The following is a 15,587-nucleotide window of genomic DNA, read 5'->3' as shown; positions in this document are numbered from 1 at the left end:
ACACTGTGTCTTTTTTCCCTGCTGCTTTGAGGGTTTTCTCTTTTTTGTTGATTTTAAGCAATTTGAATATGGTATGATGAAGTCTTATTTTCTTTATGTTTCTTCTGCTTGTGATTCATCGAGCTTCTTGTATTTGTGGGTTCACAGTTTTCATAACATTTTAAAAATATTTGAACACTTTTACTTCAAATATTCTTGGTCTCTTTTCATTCTCCTTTTCTCAAAATATAATGCTGTAAAGTCTTTATAATATACATGACGTGGTATACAATTGGTTGAAAGTTGAATGTGATTAAAGTTGTGTACTATAAGCTATAAATTTCACTAAAATAACACAGCACAAAGTTATAGCTAACAAGCCAACAAAGAATATTATGAATAACTTTAGGCCAATAAATCCAACAACTTACATGAAATGGAAAAGTTTCTTACAAGACAGAAACTACAACACTTCACTTAAGAATAAATAGATAACTTGAATAGCCATGTATATAAAATAATTTGAATTTTTACTTAAAAACCCTGCCACAAAGAAAACTTTAGGATCAGAGGGCTTCACTGGTGAATTCTACCAAACATGTAAGGAAGACGTAATACCAGTTCTGCATTGTCTACCCCAGAAATTTGAAGAAGGAGTAAGACTTTCAAACTCATTTTATAAGGCAAGCATTACTTTGATATCAAAACCAGACAAAAATGTTACAAGGAAAGAGAACTACAGATGCATATTCCTCATAAACATAGATGCAAACATTCTTTATGAATTTGAGCAAATCAAATGCAATTATATATATGTGTGTATCTCTATGTGTGTGTGTGTGTGTGTGTGTGTATATATATATATATATGAATGAATGAGTGATGTATCATGACCACGTAAGGTTTATCCTAGGGCTTTAATATTCAAAAATCAATTAATGAAGTACACTATATTAATAAACTAACAAAGAGACATGTGATTATTTCACTAGATACAGCAAAAGCATTTGACAAAATCTAACATCTATTCCAGGTAAAAACATTTTGCAAACTAGGAATAGAGGGAAATTTCATTGACATTTTAAGGAGCATCTACATAAAAACTTACAGCTAATGTCATAAGTAATCGTGAAAGATTAAATGCTTTTCCCTAAGACTGGAAACAATGCAGGGGTGACCACTCTCATCACTTCTATGTAACATTTTATTGGAGGTTCTAGTCAAGGTAATGAGGCAAGAAAGAGAAAGAAAAGAGATCCAGGAATAAAAATAGAGAAGTAAAAGTGTCTTTATTCTCAGATGACATAATTGTCTTCATCAAAAATCTGATGGAATCTACAAAAAATGCTATTAGGACTAACTAATAAGTTATTTTAGCAAGGTTACAGGATATTAGATTAAATTACAAAAGTCAATTGTATTTCCATTTACCAGCAATGGACAATTGGGAATTGAAATTTAAAAATACCATTTACCTATAGCACAAAAACATAAAATATTTATAGATAAATCTGATAACATATGTGCAAGACCTGTACACTGAAAACATGGCTAAATGAAGTTAAAGAAGACCTAAATGAAGTCATAGCTGTATTGAGATTACACATCAGAAGATGCGATATTGTTATCTATTTTTTCCTAAATTGATTATAGATTCAATATAATCAAAATTCCAACAGGATTCTTTTGTAGAAATTTGTAAGACAATTCTAAAATTCATATGGAAATGCAAAAGGCTGAGAATAGCCAAACAACTTTGAACAAGAACAGAGTTGGAGAATTTACATTGCCTGACTTCAAGACTTATAAAGTCATGGTAACTAAAACATGATGGCATTGTTCAAGCTCGACAAATAGATGAATGAATCAGAATACAGAACCCAGAAATAGACCCATGTGTATATGGTCAATTGATTTTCAACAGAGGCACAAAGACGATTGGAGAAAAGATAGTCTTTTGAACAAAAGATACTAGAACAATTGGATATCCATATGCAAAAATAAACTGATTCATACCTTTTACTCTATAAAATTAACTCAAAAGATATCATAGAGATAAATGTAAAACCTGAAATTATAGAACATCTAGAATAAAATATAGGAGAGAATCTTTGTGACCTTGAGTTAAGCAAATATTTCTTAGAGACAACACAAAATGCACAATCTATAAAATCAAAAACTGATACAGTGGACTACGCTGAAATTAAGAACATCTGCTCTTTGAAAGACACCAAAATAACAAGCCACTGTCTTGGAGAACGTATTTGCAAATCACATATCTGATAAAGGAGTTGTATCCACAATATATAGTTTAAAAAAAAAACTCAAAAATTCAATAATAAGAAGACAACCCAATTTAAAAGATGTGCAACAGGTTTTCAAAAACAATTCATCAAAGAAGATATACAGATGGCAAATAAGCACATAAAAAGGCACATCATTAGTCATTAGGGAAATACAAATTTAAAATGCAATGAGATATCACTACTCACCTATTAGAATGTCTGAATTTAAAAATGACCAACCCTCCCAATTATTAGCAAGGATGTGGAGCAGACATGCACAGCTGGTGGGAATGTAGAATGGTACACCCACTTTGGGAAAGTGTTTGGCAGTTTCTTTAAAGCAGGGGTGTTCAATCTTTTGTCTTCCCTGGACCCCATTGGAAGAAGAATTGTCTTGGGCCACACATAAAATACACGAACACTAACGATAGCTGATGAGTTAAAAAAAAATCACAAAAGAACTCATGATGTTTTAAGAAAGTTTACGAATTTGTGTTGGGCTGCATTCAAAGCCGTCCTGGGTTGGACAACCAGCTTGCTTTAAAGGTTAAACATATGTCTACCACACGACTCACGCATTCCACCACTAAGTAGTTATTTACCCAAGAGAAATGTAAGCATATGTCCTTACGAAGGCTTGCACCTGAATATTAGTAGTGGTTTTATTTGTAATAGTTCAAAACTGGAAGCAACTCAAATTGTCCATCAACATCTGAAAGGATAAACAAATTGTGGTATACCTGTGTAATTAAATACTACTCAGCGATTAAAAGACTTGAACGATTGAGAGATACAATTGTGTGGATGGTTCTCAGAATCATTAAATGCTAGATAAATAAGCTAGAAGCCAGACAAGTAAGAGTCCATGCGGCATAATTGCAAATAAAATTCTAGAAATTGGAAAGCATAGTGACAGAAAGCAGATCAGTGGTTGCGTGGGGATGAACAGAGTTGGGAAGGAAGGAGGGACAGATTGGAAAAGGAAGAGGAGAGTTTTGAGGGATGATTAATGTGTTCAATATCTTGATTGTGGTGAGAGTTTCATAAATGTATACATAAATCCACACTTCATCAAATTGTACATTTTAGAAGTGTGGTTTATTGTATGTCAATTATACCTCAAAAAGCTTTTTAAGGAAAACTCTCAAAAGATTTATAACAAAGAGTATACAGTAGTTTTTGATCTGATTATTTAGTTTTTAAATTTTTTATTTAAAAACTTTAGAATTTTTTATTTTAAAGTTTTTTTATTTTTTATTCCACCTTGGTTCATGGGAATTTTAGGATATTCCCCAGGAACTGGATATTTTTGTAGCTTCTTTTCTGTTTTCTCTGATAAAGAATACTACAGTACACATCTCCGATCATAAAGCTTTTCTTTTACATTCCTTAGTACTTCCTTGGGATACATTCCCAGAAGTGGAACTACTGATTGAATGCATATGAATATTTTAGATACTGCTGAATTGCTTTCCAAAAGAAAAGATCGGGCCAGTTTCTATCAGTACATATATGATTTCACAGTTCTCTGCACCTTTGCCAGCCCCACAACTCTCATTTTAAAGTGCTAGCTCGATGTTAAAATTTGTTTCATTGACGTTTTAGTTTTTACCTATTTGATTTTTAAAGTAAGTTTAAATACATTTTTCAAAGTGCATACCAGTCATTTGTATTTTAAAGGGCTGTAATTATCTGTTTTTCAAAAGACAAGATCATGATAATTTCTTATCAATTTGAATGAATGCACAGTATATTAAATCTCACAATCTTTTGTCATATTTTGGGAAACTTCTTCTTAAGTAGTTTTGGTTTTGATTTGGTTTTGTTTGCCACATGTAAATTTTATTTTTAGTAATTAAATATCTCACTCTTTTCCCCTTTTTCTTCATTAAATCGGAACTTAGAAATCCCTCCTCATTTACAAATTTTGTTAAATGTTTATTGTAATTCTAGTTCCTTTTTATGATATTGTGTTTTTTAAAAACAACAACAACAACAACAACAAACCACTGAACTCTTTAATCCCTCTGGGATTTTCACGGGCATAGAGAATATAGGTGTTTCACACTGGTATTTCCCTTCCTACAGTAAACCACTCGCCCAATCACCATTTCTGCATATTCCTGAGGGAGGAAAGGAACCCTGGGTCTCGTCTGAGCAGGAAGGGCAGTAAACAGGTCACTGGGAGCAGAAGCTGAGTGAGGTGTGCGAGGTGGGGAGGATGGGTTAAATATCGGAGCTACTTGCCTGGGCATGTTTACTGGGACTATGCATTTGACTTCTATTGCAGAAGAAAGCATTGGTGCTCTTCGAAAAAAGAGAGGAAGATACTGCCATTTTTAGGGAGCGATTAACACTCATCAAGGTCCCTGCAGGAGTTCAGAGTCTCCTATTAACTCCACGCAAGTTTAGCCACATGGAACAAAAAACCCCAGAAAAGCAAGATCGAGGCTGATTTCTCTCACATAAAGTAAATCCAGAGCCCTGTCCAGGGAAGCTCAGTGAAGTCGACAGAGATCCAGGCTCCTTCCAGTTCTCCTCTCCTCCATTCCCAGGGGCTGCCCAGTCCCTCTGGGCTAAGATGTTGCTGAAGCTTCACACTTCAGGCAGCAGGATGGGGCGGTGGTGGTGGGGTCATTAGAAAGCAAATGGGGCATAACTCCTCTCTTTTTCAGAATTCCTGGAGATCTATGTCTTACTGGCCAGAATTAGTTGCATGGCCACATCTGCAAGGGATGCTGGGACATTTTGCCTGGTGGAAATGGGTATTGGGAGGAACCCAGCACTCACCACACTCTCAGCCTTGGGCACACCGTCCCCTCCTGCTGGGCCTCCTTTCCTAGCTATAAAATGAGCAGATTGCTCCAGCTGATCTCCAAGGGCCTTGCTAGTCAAGAATCCCTACATTCAACGGTGAGTTCTCCTAGGGGTGGTAGTACATTCCATCGTGTTTGTATTTCCTCCCCTCACTCCCAGCACTCCTCCCACCTCCCAGTGAAACCAGTCACCTTATTCATTTCTCAGAGCTAAAGTATCTTCAGGGGCAAAATAGACAATTCTATCTGTACTGTGGCCTGATTATTTGTGCCCCCTGCAAAATCATAAGTTGACACCTAATCCCCAGTGTGATGGTGTTAGGAGATGGGGCCTGTGGTAGGTGCCTAGATCCTGGGGACAGGGCCCTCATGAATGGAATTAATGCCACAATAAAAGAAGCCCCAGAGAGCTTTGAGAAGGGGTCATCTATGAACCAGGAAGAGAGCCCTCACTAGACTTTGAATCTGCTGGTACCTTGATCTTGGACCTTCCAGCCTCCAGAACTGTGAAAAATAAATGTCTGCTGTTTATAAGCCAGCCAGGTTGTGGTCTTTTGCTAAAGCAGCCCCAATGAACTAAGATCATCCGCCTACTGAGTTCCTCGGAGGAGGACTAAGTAAAATAATGTATGTCATCGCCCACTACATAACAAGAAGGCTGGAGACAGTTATTTTTATGCAGCACAATAAAAACAGACAACGCTTTCCTGTTCTGGGCAGGACAATTTTCTTATTAACATGATTAAAAATAGTTTAACCACAGTTTCAGTTGGCCAAGCCAAACCTACTCAAGGAAGAAATTAAAATACTTCTACAGATGTTGAAGTAAATCTTCTGAGGTTCTGAGGGGTGGCTTATTTCTTCCCAAGCGCAGATCCTGGAAGGGAACTGAAAACAGCTTTCAAAAAACCAGAAGGCTGTTTATCCATCTATCAGAGCTCTTTACTCCAGCAGTTGACAAACTCATGCCACAAACCCCCAGTGTGCCTTCAAACTGACTTTTCATCTGGGAGATGACTTCTTCAAACAAAAATACAAAATAGAAATAAGAAGAGTGTGGCTGCATCCTGCCCCAGCCCACCAGAGGATTGGGGTGCAAATTCTTTACACTTCCCCTCTTTAGTCTTATTAGCAGAAGACAGACCCGAGAGGCCACTTGGCATCTAAGTGTCCTCATTATCAACAGTGCTGGTGGCTTCCCAAGGACTCCTCAAGCTGGCACAGGAAGGAAGCTTTCTTGCTGACCTCCTGCCCCACATTTTAGACATTTCTTTTCATTATTCCCTAAACAATACAGAATAGCAACTATTTATATAGCATTCTTAGTGTATTAGGTATTACAAGTAATCTAGAGATGATTTAAAGTCTACGGGAGGAAGAGTGTAGGTTCTATGCAAATACTACACTGATTTCTATAAGGACATTGAGCATCTGTGGATTTTGATATTGGGGGATCCTGGAACCAATACCGGGAAACGACTGACTGCATTTTTGCGGAAGAGATAAAACCAACCCTGCAGCTCCATAGACCATGATTCCTACCAAAATTCTTGCCTGAAGGTTGTTAGAAAGATTGAAGGAAACCCAGGTGTCAGTCTTGGTCAGCCCTTTCTTAGCATATGGCTTGAATCGTCTTTTTTCTCAGAGCCTCAGGCTTTGTCATCTGAAACAATTCTCGCTGAGTCTCCATTGGCCTTCCAGTCACTCGATCCAAAGGGCATTCTTCATTCATCATTTTTCCTCGGCCGATCACATCCTCCTTCAATCACCCTTGCTCTGCCCTCCAGGGCACAATACTCCTTCAGTATCACCTCTGGTCTCTCCTGCTCTATTCCTTTGCAAGCCTGTCCTCTCCTAAGTGTCAGGGTCCTTCAGGCCTTCCTCTCCTCCATCCTTACCTCTTTCTGTGTCATATACTTCTAGGCAACCTCATGCATCTGAGGGCTTAAGGAGCACTGAGGGCCCAAGGAGCACCTCTTAAGAGGGGGATTCTCAAGCACACTTCTCCAGGCTCCATGTTGCAGGCCACATATCCACAATTCCCTGGATCTCTCAAAGCCAGCCTCACATTCAACATCTCCAAAGCAGGACCCAAGGTCTCCCCTTCTGACCTGGTCATCTTCCATGTCTCACTGACTGGACAACCACTCATTGAGCCCCAAGATAAGAAAGGTCTGAATTATCCTCGATAGGCCTCTGTCCTTTGACCCCTCCACTGATCCCTCATCAAGCCTTGTCTACCCCTCCTCCTAAATCTCTCCCCAGCATGTCATTTTCACTCGACCTGGCCCACCCTCACCTGACTCCAGGCTGCCATCTCTGTTCATCAGGACACTGCTAGAGTCTCCACGTGGCCTGCCCCCTCCAGCCTCCCTCTAGTCTGGAGTCCACTATAATCAGGGTAATTTTTTGGAAATTGAAATCTAATATATCATTATCTGGCTTAAAATCCTGAAATGGCTTCTCATTTTTTTTCTTTTTTTATTGAGACGGAGTCTTGCACTGTTGCCCAGGCTGGAGTGCAGTGGCGCAATCTCAGCTCACTTCAACCTCCACCTCCCAGGTTCAAGGAATTCTCCTGCCCTAGCCTCCTGAATATTTGGGATTACAAGCATCCGCCACCACGCCCAGCTAATTTTTGTATTTTTAGTAGAGATTGGGTTTCACACTGTGTTGGCCAGGCTGGTCTCGAACTCCTGACCTCATGATCTGCCTGCCTCAGCCTCCCAAAGTGCTGGGATTACAAGCGTGAGCCATGGCTCCCAGCCGCTTCTCATTTTTCTAAGGATAAAAACAAAACTCCCTGCTGGGTTGTCCTGCTTCTTCTTGCACTGCCCCCTCCTCTCTACTTCTCTCTCCTGGCCTTCTCACAGGTCCTAACATGCACTCTCTCTGCCCCATGACCTTTCCACAGCCCACCTCCTACCTGGAATGCTCTGCCCTCCCCTCTTTGCCCAGTTACATCCTACTCAGCCTCCAGACTTCGGCTCCATGTTTGCTCTGCAAGGAAGACTCCTTCCCCCTGTTTAGATCGAATTTCTGGTTTCTCTGTTATAATTAATACGCTGACTTGTGTGTTTATTTGATGTGTCTCCCCACTCTAAGTCCCATAAGGATGGGTGTGATGCTGTTTGGTTTTTGCTTACATCTGTATCCCTAGCTGCCAGCACAGTGTACAGCAAGAAGCAGATGCTCAATAAACACTCATTGAAAAAATAAATGAATAAAATTGAGACACATAGATTTGTAAGTACTGGTAAGTGGCATAGTGTTTTACTTGGATATAATTTTGCTAGTAAACCAAGATTCTTGTAGTTTCAGAAAGGGCTAGCTGATCTATTTCTTCCTGCATGCGGCAATAATAAAGTTGCTTCTGAAGGGACATCGTCTCTATACAACAGTTAGAAAATAGCCCTTATCACGAGAAACTTGGAATTAGAGGCTACACTGGACCTGAATAAACCTACTTCATGACATAACCCTTATCTTCCACCTGTTTTACACGCCCCCTCCCCCTTGTGACTTCCCTAGAAAATTTTACCACCCTAGCCAGATTTTCTTTGTCAGACTTGTTCATCTTCATATTTTCGGCACTTTGGCCAGAACCTGGTGTTGAAAACTTGGTGACTGAATATAGGAACTTACAGCTGTAAGCCATTAAAACTGGTATCCAACTTGTTGATTTAAGTTCCTTACAGATCCTGGATATTAGACCTTCATCAGATGCATAGTTTGCAAATATTTTCTCCCATTCAGTAGTTTTCTGTTTACTCTAAATTTCTTTTGCCATGCAGAAGCCCTTTAGTTTAATTAGGTCTCACTTGTCAATTGTTGTTTTAGTTGCAATTGCTTTTAGGGACTTAGCCAAAAATTATTTGCCAAGGTCAATGTCAAGAAGGGTACTTCCTAGGTTTTCTTCCAGGATTTTTATAGTTTGAGGGCTTACATTTAAATCTTTAATCCATCTTGAGTTAATTTTTATATTTGGTGAGAGGTAGGGGTCCAGTTTCATTTTCTGCTTATTGCTAGCCGTTATCCCAGCACCATTTACGAAACAGGAAGTCCTTTCCCCATTGTTTGTTTTTGTCAGCTTTGTCAAAGATCAAATGGTTGTAAGTATACAGCTTTAGTTTTGGATTGTCTATTCTGTTCTGTTGGTCTACAGGTCTATTTTTATACCAGTACCATGCTGTTTTGGTTACTGTAGCCTTATAGTTTGAAGTTGGGTACTGGGATGCCTATGGCTTTTGTCTTTTTACTTAGAATTATTTTGGCTATTTGGGCTCTTTTTTTGGTTCCATATAAATTTTAGAATTTTTTTTGTTCTAATTCTGTGAAAAATGACATTCATAGTTTGATAGGAATAGCATTGTATCTGTAAATTGTTTTGGGCAGTATGGCCATTTTAACAATATTTATTCTTCCAATCCATGAGCATGGAATTTTTTTCCATTTATATGTGTCATCTCTGATTTCTTTCAGCAGTGTTTTGTAGTTCTCCTTGCAGAGATAGTTCACCTCCTTGGTTGGCTGTATTCCTAGGTATTTCAATGTTTTGTGGTTGTTGCAAATAACCACAAAAAAATCAAACAAATTTTGATTTGATTCTCAACTTGAATGTTATTGATGTATAGAAATGTTACTGATTTTTGTACATTGATTTTGTATCTAAAAACTTTATTGAAGTCATTTATCAGTTCTAGGAGCCTTTCAGCAGAGTTTTTAGGATTTTCTAGGTATAGAATCATGTTGTCAGCAAAAAAAAGATAGTTTGATTTCTTCTTTTACTATTTGGATGCCCTTTCTTTTTCTTGCCTGATTGTTCTGGTTAAAATTTTCACTATTATGCTGAATAGGAGTGGTGAGAGTGGGCATTCTTGTCTTGTTCCAGTTCTCAAGGGAATGGTTCCACTTCTGGCCTGTTCAGTATGATGTCGGCTGTGGGTTTGTTATAGGTGGTTCTTATTATTTTGAGGCATGTTCCTTCAATGCCTAGTCTATTGAGGGTTTTTATCACAAAGCGATGTTGGATTTTATCAAAAGCCTTTTCTTCATCTTTTGAGATGATCATATGGTTTTTGCTTTTTATTCTGTTTATGTGGTGAATCACATTTATTGATTTGCATATGTTGAACCAGTTTTGCATCACAGGAATAAAGCCCACTTGATTTAACTTTTTGATATGCTGCTGGATTAGTTTTGCTAATATTTTGTTGAGAAGTTTTGTGTCTATGCTCAACAGAGATATTGGCCTAAAGTTTTCTTTCATTGTGTCTCTGCCAGATTTTGGTATCAGGCTGATGATGGCTTCATAGAATGAGTTAGGGAGGAGCCTCCTCCTCAATTTTTTAGAATAGTTTCAGTAGGATTGGTACCAGTTCTTCTTTATACCTCTAGTAGGGTTCAGCTGTAAATTCCTCTGGTCCAGAACATTCTTTTGGTTGGTAGATTTTGTATTACTGATTCAGTTTTGGAACTTGTTATTGATCCGTTCATGATTTCGATTTTTTTCCTAGTTCAATCTTGGGAGGTTGTGCATTTCTAGGAATTAATCCATTTCCTCTAGGTTTTCTAATTTGTGTGCATAGAGTTATTCAAAATAGTCTCTGAAGATCTGTATTTCTGTGGGATCAGTTGTAATGTCATCTTTGTCATTTGGATCTTTTTTTCTTTGTAAATCTAGCTAGTGGTCTATTGATCTTGTTTATTCTTTAAAAAATCAAATCTTGGTTTCATTTATCTTTCGTATGGATTTTTGCAGGTCAATTTTGTTCATTCTCTAATTTTAGTTATTTCTTTTCTTCTGCTAGTTTGGGGATTGGTTTGTTCTTGTGTTCTAGTTCCTCTAGGTGCAAAGTTACACTGTTAATTTGAGATCTTACTAATGTCTTGATAAGGTATTTAGTGTTATAAACATTCCTCTTAATACTGCTTTAGCTGCATCCTAGAGATTTTGGTAAGTTGTGTCCCTATTTTCATTAATTTCAAATAATTTTATTTCTCCCTTAATTTTGTGTTCACCCAGGAGTTATTTGGGAGCAAGTTATTTAATTTCCATGTATTTGTGTAGTTTTGGGAGATCTCCTTGATATTGATTTCTATGTTTTAATTGCAATGTAATCCAAGAGTGTACTTGGTATGATTTCAATTTTTTCAAACTTATTGAGGCTTCCTTTATGACCTGGCATGTGGTTAATCTTAGAATATATTGCATGCGCAGATGAGAGAAAAGAGGGTATATTCTGTGGTTGTTGGGTGCAATATTCTGTAGATATCCATTAGGTCAATATTCTGTAGATATCTATTAGGCCCAATTGGTTGTCAAGTTTAAAACCAGAACTAGTTTGTTAGCTTTCAGCTTAAACAAATCAACAAGCAAAAAACAAATAAGCCCATTTAAAAATGGGCAGAGGACATGAACAGACACTTTTTAAGAGACATACAAGCAGCCAACAAACATACGAAAAATATTCATCCTCAGAGAAATGCAAATCAAAACCACAAGGAGATACCATCTCACACCAGTCAGAATGGCTATTATTAAAAACTCAAAAAATAACATGCTGGCAAGGCCACAGAGAAAAGGGAATATTTATACACTGTTGGTGGGAATGTAATCCTCAGCCACTGTGGAAAGCAGTTTGGAGATTTCTCAAAGAACTTACAACAGCTACTGTTTGACCCAGCAATCCCATGGCTATGTATATACCCAAAGGAAAATAAATCATCTGCCATAAAGACAAATGAACTTGCGTGTGTTCATCGCAGCACTATTCACAATAGCAAAGACGTGGAATCAACCCAGGTGCCCATCGACGGTGGACTGGATGAAGAAAATGTGGTACATTAACTCCATGGAATACTATGCAGCCTTAAAAAGAACAAAATCATGTCCTTTGCACAACATGGATGTAGCCGGAGGTTATTATCCTAAGCGAATTAATGCAAGAACCAAATACTGCATGTTCTCAGTACAGTACTGAGTACACATGAACGTAAAGATGACAACGATGCACACTGGGAAGCTCTAGAGGAAGAGGGGCCAGGTGGGGGTTGAAAAGCTTCCTATCAGGTACTGTGCTCACTAAGTTGGTGTCAGGATCCATACCCTGAATCTCAGCATCACTTAACATACCCAGGTAATAAGCCTGGACATATACCCCCTGGATCTAAAATGAAAGTAAAAATTATTTAAAAAATAAAAAATTTATGTTTTTAAAAAACTGGCATCTAGGTAAACTTGAAGTGGAAATGCGGATCATAGAGGTAGTATTACTTGGGAAAGCTTTGGAAGCACACAGACTGGTTGGAAGCGCTGCCTCTGCCAACCAGCAGCTGTGTGACTGTGTGCCAGGTGCTTTACCTCTCTGAGTACCACCAGAATCCAGGAGTTAGATGCAGACTGTTTTGCTTTGCTGTTGTTGTTTTGTAGAAACGGGGTCTTTCTATGTTGCCCAGGCTGATCTCAAACTCCTGGCCTCAAGCGATCCTCCAGTCTCAGCCTCCCAAAGTGCTGAGATTACAGGTGTGAGCCACTGCACCCGGCCTGATGCAGACTCTTAAATGCACCCAATTGTTAATGGACTAGAGAAGCCAATGTCTGTGCCCCTGTGTGCCTGTGTCTGAATCAAGTTTCTCCAATGTCTGATTTCCCTCTTAGAGGTGACACCACATGGTAACATCCAGACCGAAACAACAACCTGTCTGGGTCCCTTCTTGAATCGCAGCAGTCAGCCCTGCATGGAGCCTGCTTCAGGAAGGGGGCAGCCCACAGCCACATTTCCTGCAATACCTGGGGTTCCACAAGGTGGGGTTTGTGGGAGCAGCTCCCCTCTCTGCTCACCCACACTGACATCCCAGATAGAATGCCGACAGACCCACAACAGGTTCTAAGTCGTATCCAGTAAACTGGATTCTCCCCCTGCAGTTTATCATCTAAAAGCAGAACCTTTTAGAGCAGAGGGATGCCCGCTTTCTTCTCGTCTGCCCCCTAAGCCCAGGAACACTAGTGGGGAGGAAGAAGTGACACACAGGCAGATGGAGAGGCCCAGATCTACGAGGAAATCAAGAGATTTTATAACCGAGGATGACCTCCAGCTCTGGCTGGAAGAAGCTCAAAGGACAAAATAATAAAGACGCTCATTCATTGTATGCTCCCTCTGTGTCAGATGCTTTGCAGGCCTCATCTCATTGACTCTTCATTACAACCCTATGATAACAGTGCTATTTGCTAGGTATGAGCTGACAGGCAAAAAAAAAAAAAAAAAAAGAGCAAGAAAGAGAAAAGTGCTATTTGCATCCACATTAAAGAGATGGGAAAACAATCTCAGAACAGTCAGTCAACTTGTCCATGATCACACAGCTGATTTGCTGAACCTGGACTCATGTCCAGGAGAGCTGGTCCCATTCTGAAGGTTAGAATGTTCCTGATGGCTGCCGTGTGTTGATCATGCAGGCATACATGCATGCTTTCATTTCATTATTGGGAGCCTACTATGTGCCAGGCTCTGTGCTAGGCGCTAGGCAAACAAGTGTGAACAATACTTAGTCTTATCGTCTAGTGGGGGAAACAGTGACCAACAGCCATACAAATAAATGGATAATCACAAACTGTGATATGTGATGGGAGGGAGGGGTGAGGAGTACTAGACTCAGGGATGGGAAAAGTGCTGTGGAAAGATGTCTCCAGGAAGGGATCATTGCACAACACAGTTTGCTCAGAGAATACCAAGGGCCTGAGGTCCCACAGAAGAGCTGGCAGCCTGAGTTTCTGGGGCACAGAGTTCCAGGGCTGCCTGGGTAGGGGCAGGGGGGTGCAGAGAGGGAGCAGGCAGAGCCTGTGCTAAGGCTGACAAGCCCTTGATTTTGCCCAAATGATAACCTGCTGAAGGAAATGATCTCCCAGGCCCCCAGACCTCTCGTCTAATTGCAAACCACGCAACCTTAGCCGAAGCAAGATCTGCAGATAGTCAGTGCTGTCATCACCTCCACCAGCCCTGGCTGGCGTCCACCCCATTCTATGCCCTAAAGCAGAGGCACATGCATGCCTTCAGGAGGACACTGGGCCGTGGGGGGGTCGGCACCTGGCCTCTGTGGATGTCAGAGAGCCGGGGACCCTACAGGGATGCCAGTCCCGGGTAGGTGGCCTGTCCTGTCCTATGCCCAGCATTCACACCCCTCAAGGACTGCAGCAGCACAGGACGGAGCAGCATTGCCTCTGGGGGCAAAGTCACCAGGACACCCTCCCTCTGAGGCTCTGGAAGAGATGTTCCAGCTGCTCAGAATCACGGAGAACTCCAGAAGGGCCCCAAGTTTGGGGTTCCCAAGAAATGGAGTTTCAGAGAGGGCAAGTCGCTACCTCCTGCTTTCGCCCCGGAAGGTAGAGGCAGGTCTAAACGTCTTTGCCCTTTGCCACACTTCCGTCCCTGTCCATAACACACAAATGTGGCCACCTTAGGCCGCTGGCTGCGGACCTCATGGGAGGCAGGGTGGTCATAATGAGGGGCTGGGGCTTTGGGATATAAAAACTGGGTGCTCCTTATGTCAACAGCCCACATTTCAACAGGAAGGAGACCTCCTCCTCCTCTGCACTCATTTCATAACCTTTTACTTCTTAATTACGTAAGAAATATATGTGTATTGCTGAAAAATTAGAATGAAAAAGATGAGCAAAAGAAAATAGAACTCACCAGCAATCTCGCTGTCAAGGAAAAATGACTGACATTGTGCAAGGTCTCTCCTAAGATCATGTGTTTATTTATACAGCCACAGTATGTGTGTGTATATATATATACACACACACACATATATGTGTGTATGTATACACAGTATGTGTGTATATGTATATATATACACACATATATATATACATATTTACAAATATGCACATACTATACTATAGAGATTTTCATGGCATGGAATATACTTCTGCAATATCATTTTCGTGCATATCATTTTCGTGGCTGCGTAATCTTCTAATGAATATATCTGCCACAGTTTATTCAACAGATCTCCTGTTATTGAGTATCTAAGTTGTTTCCAATATTTGCCATGAAAAGAACCCTGCAAGGAGCATCCTTAAAGCTAAACATTCAGATATACTCTGAGCACTTTTTTAGGAGCCCTGTAGTTCAGCTGCCAATTTCATTAATCAATAATTATTGGGGCATGGAAAAATAAAGGGGAGCAATGTCTGTCTCTGCATTTAGAATCACAGCTGGGGGTCTGTATCTGAATATCTGGGGGTGGTTCTAACAGAGAAATTTCTTTATTTTAGAGCTACTGTTAACTCTGAAGATAATTGCTATAAAGAACAGCAAAAAGTTGTCCTGAGGGAGATTTAGTTCTTCTTGGGTGAAGGCCAGCATTATTTCACTATTAATGAATTACTTGGCTGGGCACGGTGACTCATGCCTGTAATCCCAACATTTTGGGAGGCTGAGGCAGGTGGATCACCTGAGGTCAGGAGTTCGAGACCAGCCTGGCCAACATGGTGAAACCCCGTCTC

At 40.0% G+C, this 15,587-nt stretch overlaps 1 long non-coding RNA gene across 9 annotated transcripts in view, besides 3 other annotated features; it reads right to left on the bottom strand.

Moving 5' to 3' along the window:
* The window catches only part of LINC02641 (long intergenic non-protein coding RNA 2641), a 214,291-nt gene that overhangs the window by 18,646 nt on the left and 180,058 nt on the right, over positions 1–15,587 (bottom strand). The gene's annotated exons all lie outside the window — the stretch shown is intronic.
* Positions 3,583–4,782: an enhancer, noted in NCBI's record as "MED14-independent group 3 enhancer chr10:125298302-125299501 (GRCh37/hg19 assembly coordinates)". NCBI's record gives its function as "activates an origin of replication core promoter dependent on BRD2, BRD4, P300/CBP and CDK7 cofactors, and independent of MED14, by STARR-seq in HCT116 cells {active_cell/tissue: HCT116}" and the evidence as "EXISTENCE:reporter gene assay evidence [ECO:0000049][PMID:35650434]".
* Positions 3,583–4,821: a biological region, named in NCBI's record as "MED14-independent group 3 enhancer GRCh37_chr10:125298302-125299501".
* Positions 4,256–4,821: an enhancer, noted in NCBI's record as "OCT4-NANOG-H3K27ac hESC enhancer chr10:125298263-125298828 (GRCh37/hg19 assembly coordinates)". NCBI's record gives its function as "activates a minimal SCP1, AML or CMV promoter by ChIP-STARR-seq in primed H9 embryonic stem cells {active_cell/tissue: H9 hESC(primed)}" and the evidence as "EXISTENCE:reporter gene assay evidence [ECO:0000049][PMID:30033119]".

Source organism: Homo sapiens, chromosome 10 (assembly GCF_000001405.40).
Source record: "Homo sapiens chromosome 10, GRCh38.p14 Primary Assembly".
Taxonomy (NCBI): Eukaryota; Metazoa; Chordata; class Mammalia; order Primates; family Hominidae; genus Homo; species Homo sapiens.
This window is presented reverse-complemented; position numbering and strand designations above follow the sequence as displayed.